The sequence below is a fragment of the Homo sapiens genome, chromosome 10, assembly GCF_000001405.40.
Source record: "Homo sapiens chromosome 10, GRCh38.p14 Primary Assembly".
NCBI lineage: Eukaryota > Metazoa > Chordata > Mammalia > Primates > Hominidae > Homo > Homo sapiens.
The window spans coordinates 97,894,082-97,916,157 of record NC_000010.11 but is presented as its reverse complement, the minus strand read 5'-3'; the positions used below and the strand labels follow the sequence as shown (position 1 = coordinate 97,916,157).

General features: G+C 52.9%; 1 protein-coding gene across 2 annotated transcripts in view, besides 1 other annotated feature; it reads left to right on the top strand.

Moving 5' to 3' along the window:
• The window catches only part of CRTAC1 (cartilage acidic protein 1), a 165,622-nt gene that overhangs the window by 114,464 nt on the left and 29,082 nt on the right, over positions 1 to 22,076 (top strand). For both annotated transcript variants that reach the window (NM_018058.7, NM_001206528.3), the window contains exons 6-11: positions 8,011 to 8,145; positions 11,344 to 11,489; positions 14,519 to 14,655; positions 19,167 to 19,249; positions 20,173 to 20,273; positions 20,745 to 20,913. In NM_018058.7, coding sequence (NP_060528.3) covers positions 8,011 to 8,145; positions 11,344 to 11,489; positions 14,519 to 14,655; positions 19,167 to 19,249; positions 20,173 to 20,273; positions 20,745 to 20,913 — 771 coding nt within the window. The remainder of the gene's footprint in view (positions 1 to 8,010; positions 8,146 to 11,343; positions 11,490 to 14,518; positions 14,656 to 19,166; positions 19,250 to 20,172; positions 20,274 to 20,744; positions 20,914 to 22,076) is intronic.
• Positions 1,089 to 1,665: an enhancer, noted in NCBI's record as "H3K4me1 hESC enhancer chr10:99674250-99674826 (GRCh37/hg19 assembly coordinates)". NCBI's record gives its function as "activates a minimal SCP1, AML or CMV promoter by ChIP-STARR-seq in primed H9 embryonic stem cells {active_cell/tissue: H9 hESC(primed)}" and the evidence as "EXISTENCE:reporter gene assay evidence [ECO:0000049][PMID:30033119]".

Genomic DNA, 22,076 nt, shown 5'->3' with positions numbered 1-22,076 from the left:
TGGGGGGATGAAGCACTTGAAAATGACAAGGTGGAAGGGAGGCAAGGACTGGGAGAGCAGGCTAGACACAGAATAAAAGAATCTGGAGGTTGCGGCTGGGTTTGAGCATGAAGGGGGCATTGTTCACGCTGGCTGGGCTGGCACAGAACCGAGGAGCGGGAAGGAGGAGACCCAGAGGAGGCAGATGAGGAGCACAGTGGGGATGGAAGCACCAGCCAACTGTGCCGGCTGGGCTGGAAGGACGGGCAGTTCAAGGAAGAAGCAGCAGCTTTGGTGGAGGAACAGAGGGAGGCTGGGGCAGCTGGCGTGCCCAGAGGACGTGTTCGAACAGCTCTGCAGACTTCCAAAAGCCATTTGGCTGACAAGAACCTATTTGGCCCACCATGTTACTATTCTGTCTGCGCGCCTTCTCCAGCCCACCCTTTCCCTGCCCGCCAAGCCCCCCAACACTACCCTGTAGCCCCCCTTGTCACTCAGCTAATGACACATGGACGTCTGGCTGGAAAACTAGCCCGGAGTGTCCCCCACCCCCGAGCCCCAGGAATGGACCCCAAATGTAAGGGCCGCCATGCTGAGCCCGGCCTGATGGCTGAGGCTTTGGGCGCGTGGCCAGCGCTCAGCACCACTGTGGTGCCAGGGGGCCTGAGAAGCTGGGAGGAAAGCAGGCAGAAGGGGCAGGCCATGTCCAGATGTGCACTCAGGGAGCTGGGAGGTCCCTGGAGCCAAGCCACACAGCACCTGCCTGCTAGAGAGCTGTATGACCTGGGAGAACCTCCCATTTTACAAAGAACAGACGGAGATCCAGGGAGGAGAAGGGACTCGCCCAAGGTCACACAGGAGGTTGGTAGAGAGCTAGCACTTAGAGCCCCATCTCCTCCTGATGCTTAAACTGCCACAGCCCGCTGACCTTTCCGATGACCTCCAACTTAAGAACCCTACCAGCCTGCAAGACAGGAGGGGCTGTGAGGGGAGGCCCACACCCACTGGGATGACAGCCCCAGGCTGGCACCCGGACTTGAGGCAGCCCCACCCGGGTTGTTGTGGCTGAAGCAGCTGCCTGGCTGAGTGTTCAGGACAGCGGGGGAGGTCCAGCCACCCCAGGGCAGGCTAGGCAAAGGTGCTATCCAGGTACCGGCCTTCAGCACTGCGGGAGGGGGAGGGGAGGCCTCCTCTCTAGACATTATCCATTTCCGCAGCTGCAGCTGCTCCGCTGGGTCACAGTGCCATCTAGTGGCCACCATGCCAGCTCTCGGGGGACTCGAGGGCCCCGGGAGGGTGGCCAAGCGAGAGATTGGGAGAGAGACTGGGGCAGTAGGAAGACCACTCTCCCATCCCCTGGTCCCCAACTTCCCCAGCTGCTTGAGGCCTCTTGAAGCCGGGACAGTGCCGGGAGCTGCCCTGCCTGGGAATCCTGGGAACTGGGTTCTGGACATGGCCAAGGCCCTGGCGTGGAACCAGATGGAAAAAGAGGAGGGGAAGGTGAGAGGCAAGAGTCCTGCACTGCCTCCGCGGTCCAGGCCCCAGTGACCTTGGGCATGCCCCTCAGCTTTTCTGAGGACATTGAACTAGCAGGTGAGGGGACAGGGTCTGGAGCCAGGCCACAGGTGCAGGTCCAGCCTACCCTGTGCATTACAGCCTAGGCAGTAGTGGGCAAACTATTCTCCCAGCCTCAGTTTTCTCATCTTCAAAATGAGAGTGTTGTGAGAACGAAAGGAGGCGCACATGGGACATGGCTGGCACATGGCCTGGCACACGGGCAGTGCCCACCTAGTATAGCAAATACCAACACCTTCCACTCTGAGGCTCTGCCAGAGCGATGCCAGGGCCTTCTGCTGGGCACCTCCTGGGTACAGGGAGCACTGTGCAAGGTACAGGGGGATGCACAAGAGAAGCAGGCCCAGCCCCTGCCTGGGAAACATTCTCTGTGTGTCCCCCCAAACCTCCAGTCCTGGGCATGGCCAGCGGCATCTTCATCCCCATCCCCTCTGGGGTCCATCTCTCTGCTCTCCTTCCTGCCTGCCCTGCCTCCCCTAGGCCTCGCCTCCTCCCCAGGAACTCTGCATTTTGGCCTCACCCTTTGAGGCAGCATCTGTCCAGGCTGCAAGGTGGTGATTAAAGAAGCCTTAAAAGAAATTCGGAAAGAAAATGAAGGTGGATTTATGATGTCAGGTGGGGAGTTTTGCTGTTGGCTGGGAGCAGTATGGAACAAAGCGGAGGGCAGATCTGATTTATAGGAAGTCATTATTGAAGGAGACGGAGATGCCTAAAGCCCAGCTGAGGCCTTCTGGCAGATCCTCACCAGTGAGCTCAACCAGGGGCTACAGAGTGGGGGCCAAGGGGCCTCCTAGCTTCCCAGGTGGGCGCTGGCCTTTCATCGGGAGTGAAGCCAGATCTGACAGCCAGGGACCAGGCAGGGCTGGAGTGACAGGCTCCCCAGCCAGGGCCCGGGACCCCCAGGAAGTGCAGCACGGGCCTGCTAGGGGTACCCAAAGCCCAGGACACACAGAGACCTTTTCCCTGGGGTGTCAGATGCATTTGATGAGTATCGGGGGGAACATTGCGTTTCTTTTAAAACAAACACAGATATGTTATAGAATTGAAATGTAATTTTTGTGTGCATTTTTCTCAACACAAGAGATTTTAAAGAAATGTCAAGCCTGTGGCTAGCCTCTCTGGGTTATACCCCTAGGCTACACCCCCAGGCTTTGCCAGTGCAAATCCCTCCTCTGTCAAGAGGAAACAAATGATGGGGCCTGTCCTGCTGCCCCACCCCTTGCCTTAACATTCTGCAGAGACAGGGCAGGAAGGATGAGCGGGGGTGTATCCTTGTCTAATACCCGCCACACAGTCAAGTCCTGCCCAGGCTCTGAAGGCTCCCAGAAGGCTTGGGAGTGGCAACACCAGCACCTACACAGTTATCTTGTCTTATAATTTTTCAGGAAATTTAGGATGAGAGACCCTGTTACCATCCTGCACTTGATCCTCACATCCCATTTTCCAGCATGTTTACACACACACACACTCTCTCTCTCTCTCTCTCTCTGTGCCCATTCCTGCACCACGTTTCCAGCATTTCTGCCCTACTCATTTACAATATCTTGGATGCTCTTGGCAGCCTGCGAATCATGGCATTCACCAGAATCCTGTTTCTATTAAGGTCTCAGCAGATGGCCAAGTTCCCTGGCCGAGGGGCCTCACCTCAGAGTCTCTGCTGATGCAGAGGGTGCAGGGCTAGATGGGCACAGGAATCAGCCCCCAACATGCTTATCCTGTGTCCACCCTGGAGGATGCATTCATTGCAAAGTAAGCTAGTAGCAATCTTGGAGATCTTCTCAATTCCCACCCACTTTACAGGAAGGAAACTGAGGCCTGGAGAGCATGCTTCCCGTGATCCTGAAGGAGGGGAGGTGCAGAGGCCAGGCAGGAAGCAAGAGGCTTTACCTTAGCACCACGAATCCTTGTGCTGCCTCATCCCTGGGTCCTCAGACCCACAGCTTGGAGAAGTTCAGCTGCATGCACACCCTCCCTCCCCACCATCTTTCCCTGTCTCACCCCCCAGTCCCTGAGGGCTGGCCCAGATGCAGTCTGAGAGATGGATTGTCTGCACCCGACTTGTACTTGGGTCTGCATTGCCAGCGTGCCAGGGCTCAGAGGTAAAGGGATGGTTCTTGAGGACAACCAAGGCTGCCCTTTGGGGGTTGGGCCCAATGAACAGATCATCAGAGTGCCAGAATGTGGCTAGGGGAAATGGGGACCTCCAAGGGGCATTTTCCCCTCTAACTCCAGCCCCTACCCAGCCTGATGGGCAGGGTGAGCAGAAGCCTTCAGCAGGGATGGGCAGGGAGGAGCAGTCACACCCCAACAGCAGAACAAGGAGGTCTTTGAAGCCTGAAAGTGCTGGGAAAAAATAAAGGGATATTATTCACCCAGCAGGTGGTAAATAGTCCCAGCTAATGACTGTGTGGCACCTGACATTTTCCAAGGCACCTTCCAAAAACCAGCTCACTTAATATTTATGACAGCCCCGAGAAGGAGCCATTATTATTATCACTCTTATGTTCTAGCTGAGAAAACAGAAGCCCAGGAAGGTTCAGTGATGAGCCCAAGGTCACACAGCTCAAACTTGGACTTTCTGACCCCCGGTGCCGTGGTGTCTCCCACAACCAGCACTGCCTCTCCAGCTCCGAGAGAATGCGCTGGCCTCAAATTATAAAAGAATTAATTGATGCAAGGTGGAGTTAATTCCCTGTTAGAACATCATTCTCCAAAGCTAAATAAAGATGTTCCTAACTGCCCCCTGGGTGACCGAATTTGGTGTGTACTAAACCTTAAGAGATGGAGGAGAGGGAGGGTGTGACAAAGGAGAGAGGAGAGGAGGGGAAAGCCCTGGTAGAAGACATTTGCTGAATAATTGGCCTTTGACATTGGCCTGGCAGAGCATAGGCATGGCAGCCTACATAATGATGGGTGGATTCTATTGGTTTGAAGAAGATTTGCTTGTCGACCTGGGAGTCGTTTCCCTATGGCATCAGTGAGGGGTGCAGGTACCTGGCTGCCCCACCTCAGCCCCCCGTTGGGCCCCCATTGTAAAGCTGCTGGGGCTGGCACCCAGGAGGCCAGCTTCCTGACTGTCGACTCACCTGCTCCCCAACTATGCAGCCAACTTGCCGAGAAGGAGGTGTGGGTAACATCTCTGTTATGGTCCGGTTGCCATGGCAATAAATTGTGGCTAATTAGTAGTGTGGTTACCATGGCAATTTTCTAGTAATTACAGGTTACAAATGGTACAAGGCTTCAACCCAACCCAATTAGTTAATTAGAAAGATTTAGAAATTTGTCCAAAAGGGAAATAACCTGCTTTGTAGAAAATGAAGGGAATGTGTCACAGCTTGGGAGCCAGAGGCAGAGAGGAAATTGGAGGATGTGGAAGCGGAGGAAGAAGGATGGAGCTGCGTGGAGGCAAGTGCCTGAGTCCCACCTGGAATTTCCAGGGGCCCGGGCAGGGCTGAGGGATTCTCAGAGAAGCTGGTAAGACCAGGGCAGGGACAGCTGCCAGCAACCACTTAGTGGCACCTCTTTTAATGGGCAGAGGTGGTGCCCAGGTTGTGACCCCACATCCTTTCCTGCTGGCTTTAGGACAGGCCTCTGGAAGCCACCCATGCCACTCCATAGCTCCCATCATGAAGAGTGGATGCTGTGTCTTGGAGGACATTCCAGAGGAGCAATGTGAATTCAGTGGCTTCATTTTCATGCGGCTTGGGCTCTCTTTGGCAGCTAATGAGATTATCTGGGAGGAATCTGGGAGGCATCCAGCCCAGAATGTGTTAACTATGAGCGCAATAAGAGTGGCAGTGCCATCGCCCCACCTCATCTCCCTGGCCTCAAATGCCAGCTCTGGTGGGCAGGCTCCATTTGCATAGGCGAAAAAGGCCCCATGATTTCCCCTGGGGGCATCTCTCAGAGGATGGGAGGCACCTAGAGACCAAGAGAACCCCTGTCTCAAATAAGCATGGTCACTTTGGGGAAACCTCTGCCCCATCCAGAGGCGGGCCTGGCCTTTCTTTACACAGGTGTACTTGAGCTTTCGTTTATTTTTTTAAAAATCAAGTTCTTCTGGAGTGCTCTGATAACTCTTCTTATTATAGTAAACAACCCTTTAGAGCAGTACTTTTCAAACTTTAATGCGCACATAAACCACCCAGGGGTCTTGTTAGAATGCAGGTTCTGATTTCATTAGGGGCCTGAGATTCTGCAATTCTAGCAAGCTCCCAGGTGACATTCCTGCAACTGCTTCTCAGACCTGGCTCTGAGCAGCAAGGCTGCAGCGTCCACAGAGCCCTTTCATACAGCTCATCGTACAACATGATGTTTTGAAATAATGTAGACATTGTGGAATGGCTAAGTCGAGCTAATCAACATATGCATTATCTCACATACTTTTTTGGGGGTGACAACACTTAAAATCTACTCTCTTAGCAAGTTCAAGTATATAGTGCATTCTTATTAACTAAAGTCACCATGTTGTACAATGGATCTCTTGAACTTATTCCTCCCGTTAAACTGAAGTGTTGTATCCTTTGACCAACATTTCCCCAACACCCCTACCCCTAGCCCCTAGTAAACACTATTCTACTCTCTTCTTCTATGAGTTCAACTTTTTTAGATTCCACATATAAGTGAGATCATGTGGTATTTGCTTCTCTGTGCCTGGCTTATTTCACTTAGCATAATGTCCTCCAGGTTCATCCACGTTGTCACAAATGACAGGATTTTCTTCTTTAAGGCTGAGTAATACTCTATTATGTATATATATCACGTTTTCTTTATGTATTCATCCATTGATGGACACTTCGTATCTTCATTCCATATCTTGGCTATTGTGAATAATGCTGCAGTGAACCTCAGAGTGCAGGTATCTCTTCAACACACTGATTTCATTTCCTTTGGATATATATACCTAGTAGTGGGATTGCTGGATCATATGGCAGTTCTATTTTTAATTTTTAAGGAGCCTTATACTGTTTTTTATAATGTCTGTACTCATTTACATTCCCACCAACAGTATACAAGGGTACCCTTTTCTCTACACCCTTGCCAACACATGTAGTCTTTCATATTTTTGATAATGGTCATTCTGACAGGTGCATCTTACCTCATTTGGTCCTCTCAAAACCCCAAAGTAGAAAAAGCAGGTCGGACTCTCCCCCATTTTACAAATGAGGAAACTGAGGCTCAAGGGTAACGTAAATTGCCCAGGGTCACAGAGCTTGTTAGAAGCCAGGCTGGGGCTAGAAGCCGTGTCTTGATCCTGGTCGGGCCATTTTCTGCACAGTATTTCCAGCGTTTGGGGGCGTGGCTGAGGGAAGGCTTTCTCAGGGCAGATTTGTGTTCCTGGGAGCTGGAGGTGGGGCCTGGCAAGCAGAGAGTCTTCATTTGAAACCCACTGGGTGGGGGTGGTTTGTTCAGGACGTATTAAGGTTAGACTTCTTGACGTGGATAGCTCAGATTTGATCTTAGAGACTTCAAAGCCCAATGTGGAGCTGGCTTGATTTCTTTCCGTTTTAAAAAACATATATACTTTATTGGATTTCTTCCTTTCAAACTACAGAAGCAGTTCTTATTGCAACAAGTCAAACACTACAAAGACATTCAAAGAAAAAAGGCCAACTATCGTTTCTCTTTCCTTCCCCACATCCTACCCCATCAAGGAAGGTAGCCAGTGTTCACAGCTTGGGGTGCGGCCTTTCCCACTTTTCTCCGAACTGAATAACTCTGCACAAACATGTGTATTCAGAACTAGCATGTATTTTCCTATTTTAAAAAATAAAAGCAAGATCTCACAATACCATTACTTGGTGAATTGCTGATTCTTTCAACCATATATCACAGGCACTCCTCCAAGTCAATCCATATGGATCTATGCAGTCTTTTTACTGCAGAATGGTTTGTCATATGGATGCTCCATAATCCATTCAACCCATTCACTATTGATGGATGTAATTGTTTAACGTCAAACAAAGCAAAGTAAGCATCTGCGTACCTATAGCTGGGACCTATCCCTATAGGTTCTTAAAGCTGGGACATACCCAGTGGTCTTGACCAGCATATGTATCACTCAAAGTGAGAGTCGGGAGTCTGTTGGGGTATCTGTGACTTGACCAAAATGGCGTGCTTAGAGTTGGGTTTAGGATTATTGTGGGTTTAGGATTTAAGATGATTGTTCAGCCACTTCTCTTAGAAGGGGAAGGCAGATGCTGGCCTCTGTGTGGGGTCCCCATGCCCGGTTGAGCTCCTTCCTTCCCTCTTCATCAGTGTTGTTACCTTCCACACAGATTCATGGAGACCATGAGCCCAGATTTAGGCTCAGGAAAGCACGGGAAGCAGAATTCCCCCCAGGCTCCTCTGAGGAGCCTCTGCTGCAGTTCCCCTCAGGCCTCAGAGGCAGCCCTGTCCTCCAGGTGGGCCTGGGGCTTGCTTCTGCCACTCACTGTGGGTCGATGTCTTTTCTAGGGGGCCGAGGCGTCAGCGTGGGCCCCATCCTCAGCAGCAGTGCCTCGGATATCTTCTGCGACAATGAGAATGGGCCTAACTTCCTTTTCCACAACCGGGGCGATGGCACCTTTGTGGACGCTGCGGCCAGTGCTGGTGAGTGGAGGCAGCCATGCCCTGTGCACCCTGACCCCTCACCCCAGACCCACAGAGGACTCCAGACTGCCCTGCCCCCTCCAGGATAGTCTCTTCTGGCTGAGGGAGAGCAGGGCAAGTCATCGTCTGCACCACACAGAGAAACGCTGCTTGTCACTTCCTATTCCTTAGCTCCCTTGGCTCCAGCCACAGGGAGTGTTTGCTGCTGGGGAAAGGGGTCTGAAACTCCTGCCAATTGCCATCTTCCAGTACCTGAGATTGCCCGCGACCCTCCAAGTCCTGCTTGTGTCTCTCAGCATCAACCTATCCTCCAAGCTGCCTCTCCCCACCTTGGCCCCCTCCCACATTTATCTTCAACATTCAGTTCAATACAGTGAGCATTCATGGAGCCCCTACTAAGTGTCAGGTTGGCACTGGGAACCAGGGATGCCCACTTGAATCAGGCTAAGACCACCCTACACACAGAAAAGGCAATGACTTTCTAGAAACAGATGTAGACAAAAATATCCGGCTGTAATAAGAAGCAGGATAAAACCCACACAAAATAGTGCCCCAGGCCCCCAGCTGTGCTCCTCCTCCTTCCTCTGCACTCATCCCCCACCCACCTCAGGGCCTTTGCACTTGCCATGGCCTCTGCCTGGACTGCCCTCCCCCTTCTCTACCTGCAGAACGTCGTTTAGCCTTCATCGTTCACCTCAAATATCACCTCTGCAGAGATTTTCCTCACTCCCTGTGCCACCTAGCAGAAACTGGTCCTTCCTCCTCCTGCTGCCCGTGGCATGCACGTCTTCTTCAGGCTCCACATTGCCATCATGGTTTGTCTATGAGCTTTACAAGGACCGGGTCACGGTTCTATTCATTCTTGACGCAAGGCTTGGCCTCCAGTGCCCACCGGTAAATTCTGCTGAATGACAGAGTGGACACTTCCTGCGAGTTTTCGGATGTATGATTGCATCCCAGGCACCCCTGACCATTTCCCCCGACCTTGCCAATGAATGGGAGGTTTGATTTCACCTCCTTCTTGGAGGCATGGGGAAGAGCTCTGGCCTGCAGGAGTGGTGAGTGGGATCTAGACACAGAGATCAAGGGTCCTGCAAGCTCTGGCTGTTGCCAGCAGTTCACATCGAATCCCTGCACGTGTGCCAGTCTGTTCTCTTGGATTCTTGGACTTACGAGTACCTACCACCCCAGCATTCTGCCCAGGAGCTCCACTGTGGGGACTTACTGGCCCAGAATGCACACCCACCCCCAGCTTTTTGCCATTCAGCTCCCTACCTTGCCTTACCTCTTATCCTTCTCTGGCAAGGCAGAAGTTGGACTCCCCTGGCCTGTCCTCCCACCTGGCTCACCCCTCCTAGTGCTATCCTTTGGCAGCAAATTTTCTCATTGCTGAAAAATCATAAAGCAAAGGGGAGGGAATAGTGGAGAAAACCTAGAGGATTTGATAAGGTGTTAAAGAGATGGAAGCAGAGGTGAGCGAACAAGTTGGAGTGGGAGAAGGTATCAGGCGGGAGGAGAGAGGCAAGGTGCTAGGCCCGTAATTGAAAGTCAGAATGATTGCAGGGGTTTAACAAGACATGTCAAGAGGGCATTCATCACCCAAACAGATGCTGCTGTGAAATGCAGCCTGGCACCGATTATTCCCGTGAAAGGGAACCAGCTCCTTGTCAAGGTGCCTCATAGATAGGAGAGAAATGGGCCAACGCAGAAGGCCACCGACATTTGGGCCGAGGAGTTTGGCAGAGAATTAATGGAGTATTAATCCTAGGGATTGGAGGCTGCCCCTAGTCCTCTGCGAACCCTCTTTCTCAAGTCTCACTGCCTCTTCTTCCCACACCTCCCCCAGCTCCTTCTCTCCCCCAGGAGGACACTCAGCCTCCAGGGTTCTCAGGGGGCCCCACCCTGCCTTCTGGCAAGAGCTCCCTGTGTCCTGGGGTCTCTGATCCCCACTGCCTATTACATTGTCCTGTGGTCTGCCATCCCAGAGAGCCTGATGACCCACAGCTATTTGTCCTCTGAAAGAGTCAACGTGGGTGGGTGCTTAGAGTCGCATTCACCTCTGTCTCTCAAGCTATGCACTGGCCAGTGAGCAGCTAGGAGGTCAGCCCATCGCTCTGGGCAAAGCCACCCTCTCTCCTCCCCCAGCACCCACTCCGTGGATAGTATAAGCAGGTGGCATTGGGCACAGAGGCTTCGCTTTCCAGGTCTCACCAGGCATGCTGTGGGCTTCTCTGTCGTGGCTGTAGTATTTCCTCTGCTGTCACCCACGTCCCCGGTTTGCCTTCTGTCATGTTATTTATGTCTGTGCACTCATTCAGCAAGTATTTACTGAAAACTACCAGGCAACCACAGGCCCTGAGATAGATGCTGCGTGTACCCAGGTGAACCAAGAAGAGAGTCTTGACCTCATGGAACGTCAGGGATAGTGGGAAAACCGGACCCTAACAAGTCAACCACAAAGGAACGTAACCGCACATTGTGATCAACATGTTGGAGGAGAAGACTAAGAGGCTGTCAGGGAGATTGACAGGGTGGGCAAGATGAGCTGTCTCAGATGCGTGGTCAGGGAGGGCTTCCCGGAGGAAGTGACATTGTGGCTGAGAGCAGAATAACCAGGAGCTGGGTAACCTAGAGCTAGAGGGAGAGCATCCCAGGTAGAGACCTGCTTGAGCAAAGGCCCAGGAGCTGGAAAGATGGGGAGAGTGGGACCAGATCAAGACCAGATAAGGCGGACAGGACCATGGTCAGGCAGAACCCTGTGCTCCCCAGGCAGGAATTAGAACTTTCCCTAAAAGGATTGGAGGGCATGATCAGCTTAAGCAAAAGAGTGGCATGATCAGCTTAATGTCTTCCAGTGGCAGTGTTAGGGGTGGCCGGGAAGAGCCTTTGGTCCTCCAGAATTTCCCCCAGTCTCCCTCCCCCAACCCATGCCACCCCCCAAACAGGGTAAAAATAATATGCATGCTGGGCAAACACAGCTTGAACACAAGTCTTGGGTCTTCTTTTCAAGCACATGACTGTCCCACTTCCTGCCCCTATAGAGAGCTTCTGAGACTGCAGCTATGTCTCCCGTATCTCCTCCCGGGAACAAGATGAGAGTCACCCTCCCTAGTTGCTTGTCACAGAGCTAGAGCAGGGTGAGTGTTTGTGGAGTGTGCAGGGGATGCCGCCCTGAGAGTTCCTGCCTCTCCTCCCCAGGTGTGGACGACCCCCACCAGCATGGGCGAGGTGTCGCCCTGGCTGACTTCAACCGTGATGGCAAAGTGGACATCGTCTATGGCAACTGGAATGGCCCCCACCGCCTCTATCTGCAAATGAGCACCCATGGGAAGGTCCGCTTCCGGGTAAGAAGGGGCCTCACCCCAGGAGTTCAAGACCAGCCTGTCCAACATGGCAAAACCCTGTCTCTACTAAAAATACCAAAAATTGGCCAGGTGTGGTGGTGCGTGCCTATAATCCCAGCTACTCCGGTAGCTGAGGCACAGGAATCTTGAGCCCAGGAGGCAGAGGTTACAGTGAGCTGAGATCGTGCTACTGCACTCCAGCCTGAGTGACAGAGCGAGACTCCATCTCAAATAAAAAAATAAATAAATAAAATAAAATAAAAAGAAAGGGCCTCTCCCTCACTCCTCCCTACAGCACCACTGCAGGGGTGCCCCGGCATGCCATGGAGCTGCCTCGCTCCTCCCACCAGGCTGAGCAGGGCTCAAGGCTCTCAGGGCCCAGAGTGGGGGTGGGGTGACAAGGAAGGTTACACCAGGGGACGAGGGACTACAGCTGGGCTGCTGTAGGAGCTCTGGATCCAAGAGTAGGAAGAACCAGGTCAGCAGAGGTGGGAGAGCAGCCTCCGAGGTGGGCCGGAGTCCTGGGAGGTGGACTGCACTCTCTGGATCCAGGCCATTTTTTCTGGTGGCTCCTGGAAAGGATCCAGCAGCTAGAGCAGAGAGTGTTTGTGGAGTGTGCAGGGGATACAGGATGGCATCCCCTGCACACTCCACAAAAGCCAGGCCTCAGCTTTTTAGACCTTTTCAGACTGACGTTCAAACCAAGGGCAAAGTGGTGGAGAGAATGGAAGATTGAAGCCACGGAGTTCCCAACAGCTGCCCCTAAAGACAAACAGCAGATGGCAGGCAAGGTGGCCTCAGAGCCCTCTCTGTGCCCCCTCCCTGAGCTGTTGATAGACCGATGCCAAGAATTCTTCAAAAGGGCTGTTAGTGACAGTGATGGAGGTGCCAACAGCATGAGGGGCATGGGTTTGGAACTTTCTCAGGGAGGGCAACAGAGGGCATGGGCTGGTTGAAGCTGATCTCAGGGATCCAGGACTGTTCTGCAGATACCTAGGTCTGCCAAAAACCCCTGAGGAAATGGGAAAGTTCCAGGGTTTTCCTGAGGCTTGAGGATCCCAGGGAAGTCCCCAGGGACCTCATGTCTGTGTAACCAAGAAGAGGCCACCCCTACCAAGTCCCTTCCCTGTAAGCAGCCACCTTGGGACGCCCAGGCCCAGCCACTCCCTCCCTGCTAAGGCTTGAGACTCAGGCTCCCTGGGCTGGGAAGAGGCATGCCCTGAGCCCAGGACAGCTCGTCCTGGGATCTTGGACGATTTCCACCTTTATTCTACTCTTGTTCTCACCCAGCTTCTCAACAGGGATGATCTTGCTGCCCTCCCTCTGGGACATTCAACAATGTCTGGGGACATTTGGGTTTGTCACAGCTGGGGAAGGGAGGGCTCCTGGCATCTAGTATGCAGAGCCCAGGGATAGGGCTGAACACCCTACAGTGCACAAAGCAGCCCCACAACAAAGGATTATCCAGTCCCAAACGCCAACGCACTGAGGGTGAGGAACCCTGTTAATTCTTCCGAAGGCCCCTCCCCAGAGCTCTCAGGAGCAATAATAATACTAATAATACATAAATGCCCTATTTATCAAGTGCCTTCCATGTGTCACGAACTGTGCTAAGCTTAACATACATTATCTCGGAAGCTCAGGCATCGAATAGGGCAACCCCAAGGGGGCTATGGGAGGTTTCCATTTTTATAGGATCAATAGAATCATAACGGCTAGAGATCCTGAGGTCTTTTTGCTCCCTGGCTCTTAAGGCCCAGCTCAACCCACCCAGACCAGCTGGCCAGGCTTATTCAACCTCATTACTCCTCTGATGGAGACAGCCTCTTTCCCTGGCCTCCCCAGAGCAGGCAGCTCGACCGCTGACCCAGCCTGCTCATCCCTGTGGCTGCCAAAGAGGGTCTGCAGCAGGAGGCCGAGAGCAGGCCCAAGTCGGGTAGAGGATGCTCCCAGAGACACCACCTGTACCTTTCTCAGCCCTCTCCACGTGGGCCCTGGGACTTAGACATGTCCCCAAGGTCTTTAGGGGAAAAACCCACCTATGATGAGGATATTACGCTCAGAAATAGAAGATTGCCCTTCCCAGCTCTCCTTCTATTTCAGAGGCAGAAACACACCTGGGACCCTTTGCCTGGTCCCCCAAGGCCCTCCCAGTACTTTGGAGTCCCAGCTGGGCTATCCTGGGCCTGGGGTCTCCCCATTAGTCCTGGACAGGTGTAGCTGATACCGCAACCCCCTCAAAGCAAATGTCTCAAAAAATAAAAATAAAAAGACTCCCAAGAAACAACGTAAGGTAGTAGAGGCAGCCAAATCCACAGCTACAGGTAACCTCTTTCACCTTCCCTGAGGCAGGTGGTGGGTAAGGCAGGACAGGCTGCCAGCGAGCTATGTCATGCCCACTCTGTGCCAGGCATTTTACATGCAATCCTCACAACCCAGGCAGCTATTACTATTCCCACATTACTGATGGGGAAGGTGAGATCCAAGGGGGTTAGTAACTTGCCTAAGATCACACAGCTAGTCAGTGGTGGAGCCTGGATTTAGATGCACAGAGATTTCCGGTGCCCACCCAGCTTCTGACTCAGCACAGAGGAGGAAGGGTGCCTAGGAGAAAGGGCACAGAGTCCGGAATCAGAAGCCCTGGCCTCCCCACTCAGTAGCTGTGACATCGCAGTTCCCCTCCTTCTCCAGGACTCAGTTACCTCACCCGTCAAATGGGAAGGCTAATGTCTGTACTGCCTCAAGGGATGGACAGAAGGGATGGACAGGTGTGATCCAGACTAGGGATCGGCTAAGCACTTCACTGGTGTCTAGCACGACTGTTATTCTTCCCTCCTTCTTCTCGTACAAGCAGCCTGAGGTCTGTGTGGTCCTAAAGGCAGCCCCCAGGTCCTTTGCGGGAGGCAGGAGAGGAGCTTTTGGGTTGGACTGTCTCTTATTTTTAATTGCCCCCACACTCCATAGAGGAGAGCTGGCCTCCCGCCCCAGCCCACTCTCCTGCCACTGACCCCCAGCCTTGTTTCCTCCAGGACATCGCCTCACCCAAGTTCTCCATGCCCTCCCCTGTCCGCACGGTCATCACCGCCGACTTTGACAATGACCAGGAGCTGGAGATCTTCTTCAACAACATTGCCTACCGCAGCTCCTCAGCCAACCGCCTCTTCCGGTAGATGCTCCATCCTGGCTCGTGGCTCTTCATCCTTGACAGCTGGTGGGAGGAACGGTCAGGGAGAAGGTTTAAGAATCAGAAGGGGAGGGTTCCCAGGGCCAGGGGGTCAGGCCAAGGTCAACACAGGTCCCCTGATGAAGAAACAGAAAGGAAGGAAGGACGAGGACTGGGCAAGAGGCTGTGGGAATGCAGGGCAAAGCCTGGCCAAGGAGCCGGCCTCTGCTATTGCAGGGAAAGGGAAGGGAAATGTGGCCCAAAGTGTGCCCAGAACCCAAGCGCCACAAGATACAAAGCCACACTACCACAAAAAGGGGCTACAGGGTCCAATCACTACCAGGAAAAGGGGCTACGGGGTCCAATCACTACCAGGAAAAGGGGCTACGGGGTCCAATCACTACCAGGAAAAGGGGCTACGGGGTCCAATCACTACCAGGAAAAGGGGCTACGGGGTCCAATCACTACCAGGAAAAGGGGCTACGGGCTCCAATCACTACCAGGAAAAGGGGCTACAGGGTCCAATCACTACCAGGAAAAGGGGCTACGGGCTCCAATCACTACCAGGAAAAGGGGCTACAGGGTCCAATCACTACCACAGAAAGGGGCTACGGGCTCCAATCACTACCAGGAAAAGGGGCTACGGGGTCCAATCACTACCAGGAAAAGGGGCTACAGGGTCCAATCACTACCAGGAAAAGGGGCTACGGGGTCCAATCACTACCAGGAAAAGGGGCTACGGGCTCCAATCACTACCAGGAAAAGGGGCTACGGGGTCCAATCACTACCAGGAAAAGGGGCTACAGGGTCCAATCACTACCAGGAAAAGGGGCTACAGGGTCCAATCACTACCACAGAAAGGGGCTACGGGCTCCAATCACTACCAGGAAAAGGGGCTACGGGGTCCAATCACTACCAGGAAAAGGGGCTACGGGCTCCAATCACTACCAGGAAAAGAGGCTATGGGGTCCAATCACTACCAGGAAAAGGGGCTACGGGCTCCAATCACTACCAGGAAAAGGGGCTATGGGGTCCAATCACTACCACAGAAAGGGGCTACGGGGTCCAAGTAAATACAGGTTTATTTACTGCAGGACTTCTCAGCGCCTTTAACTTGACCATAAATATTTTAATTTTCCAAAAGATGGATGGAGTATTCCAAATAGGCCAGATCACAGGGCACTTCTTCCACAGATTTTTCTGTTGAGACTGGTGTTCTGCAAACCATCCTTTGGGAAATTCTGGATGACAAGGGTTCCTGGTAGACAAGGAAAAGGGTTTCAGAAATGGAGGGAATGTGCAGGCCTCTGAGCAGTGTGTCTAGGGAGGAAGGGCTGGATTTGCTGCGGCAATATTTCTCCAAGGGGACGTCCAGAGACCATTGGCATCAGAATCACCCAGAGTGCTTAAAGTACAGAATCCCGGGACCTACCCCACAGCCCCTGACTTAGAATCTCAGGGGGTGAGGCCCAGGAATCTGTATTTTAACAAGTACAGTAGGCACCAGGTGATTCTCATCACACTGAAGTTTGAGAACCACTGTTGGGGAACTGAGCTCAGGGTCTCCCCATGAGTCCTGGATAGGTGGAGTCCTGGACAGGCATGTGGCCTGAGATGTCCCTGTTCCTGGCTTAAAACATTCCAATGGGGCTCAGGACCAGGTGGGGAAAGGAGGGTGTGCCAGGGCCTTGGATCCAGGACATGGGCCAGATCACTGGCTCGGCCCCCCAAGACCCCTACCCCATCTCCCGGGAGGGCCCAACTATTTATACTAAAAGGCATGAGTGTGACTAAGCGTGTTTTAAAATATAATTATTAACAAAGCATCAATCCTGACTGGATGTAATCACCCCCTGAAGGCGCTAGATTTACTAATTAGGTGCCTTGCGAAAAGCTTATTCACAACTTCCAGATAAATTGCAGAAGATCAATTGCTAGTTAACAGAGACACTGCTTTCCTTCTCTGGCTAATAAAGTGTCACTCGCCAGGAGGACGAGGCCTGAGCACTGAGGAATCTAGTGCTCCTGTCTCTGTGGCCCGAGAACCTAGTCTCTGTCTGCCTGCCCATCCTGCCCATCCAGCCTGCTTCAAATCTCCCAGCGTCCCCTGCAGCGGGGAGAAAGGGCTGGGTGGAAGGACAAGGCAGGCTGGCCCAGAGCTGTCAATGGACAGAGCAAGTCACCACGTGGCTGCCCAATGGGTTAGTGTGTTTGCCTCCACACAGCAGCAGCAGAAGCCACTTCCCAGGTACGTGGCTGTGCCCCAAGTCCCTGTGGCAGATGGCTGGGTCCTGAGCACGCAGCAGAGAGGACAGCGAGAGGGGCTGCATCTGGGACTGGCACTCAGCTGGCAGCTCTGGAAGTTTAACCCCCAACTGTCCCACACCACGGGGGCTTTTCACCTGTCACTGAACAGGCACTGTGGGCTCCTTGGCCCTGGTGCTCTCCAGGAACATGCCAGGAACTCTGTGGGGACATAAAGCCTCAGTGTGCTTGAGTCTGCACGTCCTTTAATGATACCTGCAGCACCCAGGGAACTCAGCACCCAAACAGTCACTTAATGAGAGTGAAAGGGAGCCCTCTTAATAATTACAGCAAAAAAAAGAAGAAGGAAAAAAGAAAAAGAATCACAGAGGCAAAAAGGCATGAACAAGGACACTCCTAGGCCAACTGCGGTGTGCAGGGTCACCCCCTTTCACATCTAGCCATGTCTCCAACCTGCTCTTCACTCTCCACCATGACACCACTCCTGGTCTCCCACGGAGATTCCTGCACCTCCCCCAGCTGCTCTCCTTGTCTCTAGTCCTGCAGACAGAGCCGTTGAAAATGCAAGTCTGGCCACACCCCTTTCCCACCGAAAACCTTCTAGAAGCTCCCCATTGCCTTTGGATGAAGTCCAAACTCTTTGACACAATCCACATAGCCCAGCTTGGCTGCGTCTCCAGCCTTGTCACTTTCTACTTCCCTGTTTACATCTAAGCAGCAGGCACAACAAGCTTTCTTCAGTTCTGGGCTATGCCAGGCCTCACCCTCAGGCTGCCCACTCCCTCTAGCCCCCAATTATCCCTCTTCATCTGAGCGACATGTGCTCACTCACCATGGTGGTCTCAGCTTAGCTGACCCTTCCTCTAGGGAGACTTCCCTGATTGCCCGAATCTGGGTGAGCTTCCCCAACTCTGGACTCCCCATGACCCACTCTCCCTAGGCCTTCAGCCCTCTGAACGGTGGTTCCTGTTAACACGGACTCTGAGCTCCATCCTTTCTGCTGTGCACCATACCTCACGCAGGGCCCGGCACACAATAGTTGCTGCCTAAGAATGTGTTCAATGAACACAGAAATACAGTGGAATTGATTGCTGGGTGTTATCCTTAGGACTCCTTAACTGCATTGTCACCTGAACCAAGAAGTGTCTCTGCACAGCTGTGGCAGAATCTGCAGGACACATATGGTCAAAGGGACTGTGGGCATCACACTCATGCACACCAACACACAAGCCCACCTCATGGGGCATCTGCCAGCTCTTTCTGCCACCCAGCCACCAAAGGCTCCAGCTCAGGGGACTCCGACCCCCTCCTGAAGCTATGACTGTATCACGGCCCTCTGGTGTTTCTCACATGCAACCTGCAATGTGGTAGGAAGTGCGATGCCAATTCTTCCTTACACCCTACCTTCCCATCATTGCCCCACACATCTAGGGCAGAGCACCCAAGGCTGTGAGAATACACCAAGTGAGAAAAATTCTAGAGGAAAGCTCACTGCCATCATCAGCTGAGTGCAGAGAAAGAGCAGGACTTTTCTAGCAGACGTTTCTGAAATAAATAACATCAAGATTCAGAGTTCCAAACAGAACCGCTGCAACCCAAAGGGACCCCTTTCCTCTCTTTGCCTCTGGAATTCACCTTTGTATCCTGCAGACATGTGCTTGGAGCTTTCTGAGAGCCAAGCACTGTGTTAGATACTGCAAGAGAAGCAAAGATGAACAATGCAAGGTCCCAGCCTGCAGAGAGCTCACATTCTACCAGGGGAGATCAGATGCATTTATACAGAGCTGTAACACAGGCAGAAAGTAATAAAGCCCATGAAGAAAGAAGGGATTGCTTCCAGCAGGATGGTCCAAGAGGGCATGGAGGAGGTAGCATTGAGTGGGGTTAAACCCTGGGTAGCATCCAGAACTAGGAAACCCAGGGGCCACTTGAAGGACAAGGAAGGTTGGTTGAAGGTAGTTGTGTCCCTGCCCCTTCTTCATCCATCAACTGCCCTTCCCCAGGCTGCCTATAATTCATCCATTAGAGAAGGAAAAATCAATATTTACCAACATAAATTAAAACCCAGGCAGGGAACAGGCAGAGTATAGGCAGGGCCTGGGAGCAGAGAGTGGCTCCGTGGGCAGCCAGGTGGTAGCCCATGCACATTGGGACCCGGGGATGCTCAGGGGACAGAATGGAGCAGGTGGGCCTTCTGGTCCAGCGGCCTCTGAGACCCCACCAGAGCAAGCCTGTCTCCTCTCCTGCAGCGTCATCCGTAGAGAGCACGGAGACCCCCTCATCGAGGAGCTCAATCCCGGCGACGCCTTGGAGCCTGAGGGCCGGGGCACAGGTGAGGGGCACCTGGGGGATCTGGCCTGCACTGCCCCCTTAGCACTGTTCATACACTGGGGTGAGGGCGGGAGGGACGGGGCAGCCAGTCCCACAGCAGAGCCACTCCTGTCCCTGCCACACTGAGGGCTGAGACTCAAGGGCAGGGGTGAGAGTGGAGATGGGAGAACCCTGGGGATGGCCAGGCAGGAAGCAGAGGAGAGGATGGTCCACTCCCCCAATCCCAGGCTGATGGGGGGTGGGGGAATGGGAATCTGTGGGTCTGTGGGCAGGAGCTTCTCTGGCCATGCCTTGCCAGGTGGGGATGGAAAGGAGAGGAGAGAGCCCCTTCTGCTCTCAGGCAGAGGATCTTGCCATCTGACCCCTCCCCTCTTGGCACTCAGCTTGTTGTCAGACAGAGCACTGGGCCAGGGGTCCCAGAACCCAGCTCTGCCATTGCCTCACTTTGTGGTCTTGGAAAAGTGACTTTACCCTCTGGGTCTTGTTCTCCACATTCATAAAATGGGGATAATTATATCTGCCCTCTTCACCTCTTTGGGTTGTAATGACGACCAAAAGGAGCCTATGTATATGCAAACACTTGGTAAATTGACAAAAAAAAACCTGTGCAAATATAACAGGTGTGTATTATTCAAACCATAATAGAAAGACCAGAAAGAAGACCATGTGGTCTGAGTAATTTGCACACACCCTCTCCATGCAAAGACCAGGGGAAGGAAGGAAATGTCTGTCCCGTGAGTCCTATCATGAGGCTGCTGTTAGGAAGGATAGGAGATGGGTGCCAAGCCCCAGCCTTCCTGCCCCGGTGCTGTGCTTTCTCTGGCTCCCACGCCCAGGGCTGTGGATACTGCACTTGGTTGGGAGCGTGTCTCCTTTGTGGGTCTCCTGGATTACGGCCAGAGGTGAAATCTGCATTGTTTGTAGGGGGTGTGGTGACCGACTTCGACGGAGACGGGATGCTGGACCTCATCTTGTCCCATGGAGAGTCCATGGCTCAGCCGCTGTCCGTCTTCCGGGGCAATCAGGTGCGCTAAGACCTCAGGAGCCACAGATCCCAGCCCTGTGTGCTCTCGGGTACCTTGAGTTGGTGAGGGCAAGGTGCCGGGGTGCTGGCTTGGCCAGCATGGTGGGTAATGGAAGTCCCGGGCCCTGGAGGAGGGAAGTAAATTCCAGCAGCACCGGGAAGCTCAGGAAGGGCCGCCTTGGGAGAAGCCCTTGCCTCTCTGCCTTCCAGTATCATTTATCTGCCAAACACTGTGCCCTGAGTCCCTCGGCTTTTGTCTCCTCTGTCTGCAGTGCCTCTCCTTCATTCAGCCAATCTGTCTTCGCCTCATTCATTTTTCTTGTTTGGCTTCCTGTTTCTATCTTTTTCCTCTGCCTGCTTTCTTCTCTTCCTCCTTCTTCTCCCTCTCCCCCTCCCGTCCTCCCTGGCTCCCTGCTCTTCCCACCCACCATGCTGATGCCCACCGGGTGTCTGCCTCTCACCCTCTCTGCAGGGCTTCAACAACAACTGGCTGCGAGTGGTGCCACGCACCCGGTTTGGGGCCTTTGCCAGGGGAGCTAAGGTCGTGCTCTACACCAAGAAGAGTGGGGCCCACCTGAGGATCATCGACGGGGGCTCAGGCTACCTGTGTGAGATGGAGCCCGTGGCACACTTTGGCCTGGGTGAGTCGGGGTCCGGTGGGGGACAGTGAGCTGTTATCAGGATGCTGACTGATTCAGGGACTCACAGCCCGAGCATCCTTGGGCACCGCTCCGCTCTACTGTGACAGCCATGGTGGACACCAGCTACTGGGGACAAACCCTACTCTGAGATGAGCCTGAGCTCAAGAAGAGGCGAGTGGGAAGTGCTGGTTAGATTTTCATGCATCTCACTTGCTGGAGTCCCCACCCCAGTGCCTCTGTGGAATTAGTTCACCTTGGGGTCAGAGTGTTTAATCCTCCATTTGTTCAAGGCTGTAGGCTTGTTCAAATGCTGGGCTGCACCAAACGTGTCCAAACCAGCTGTTTCCCTGGCCTCTTGGGAGCTGGTTCAGTCTTGGACAGAAGGCTTGGGAAACCATGCGTTCTCAACGGGAGTGAAGTCACCCCAAAGGGGAGAGAGTGGGTTCTTGGCAAGGGCAGGGGGATGACAAAATCCTATCATATATATATATATATATATATATATATATATATATATATATATATATATATATGTAAAAGCATCAGGGGCTGGGCACAGTGGCTCATGCCTATAATCCTAATACTTTGGGAGGCTGAGGCAGGTGGATCCCTTGAGCTCAAGAGTTCGAGACTAGCCTGGGCAACATGGCGAAACCTCATCTCTACCAAAAGTACAAAAAAAATAGCCAAGCGTGGTGGCGCATGCCTGTAGTCCCAGCTACCTGGGAGACTGAGGTGGGAGGCTCGCCTGAGCCCAGGGAGGTAGAGGCTGCAGTGAGCCGTGATTGCACCACTGCACTCCAGCCTATGCTGGAGTGAGTGAGACTCTGTCTCAAAAAATAAAAAAAGCATCAACATGCATATAGCACATGAACAGATATACAGTATATCTGTGGCATTAATGGAACTATCACTACACACCTATTAGAACAAAAATTAAAAATAGCAACAATACCAAGTGCTGACAAGGATCCAGGTAGCTTCTGGAGATCAGAGAAACTGGATCTCTCCTACATCACTGGTGGAAATGTAAAATGATACAGCTACACTGGAAAATCGTTTGACAGTTTATTTTAAGAAAACAAAACAAACCTAAGCAAACAACTGCTACCCTATGACCCAGCTATCATATCGCAAGCCACTTATCTCACACGAATGAAAAC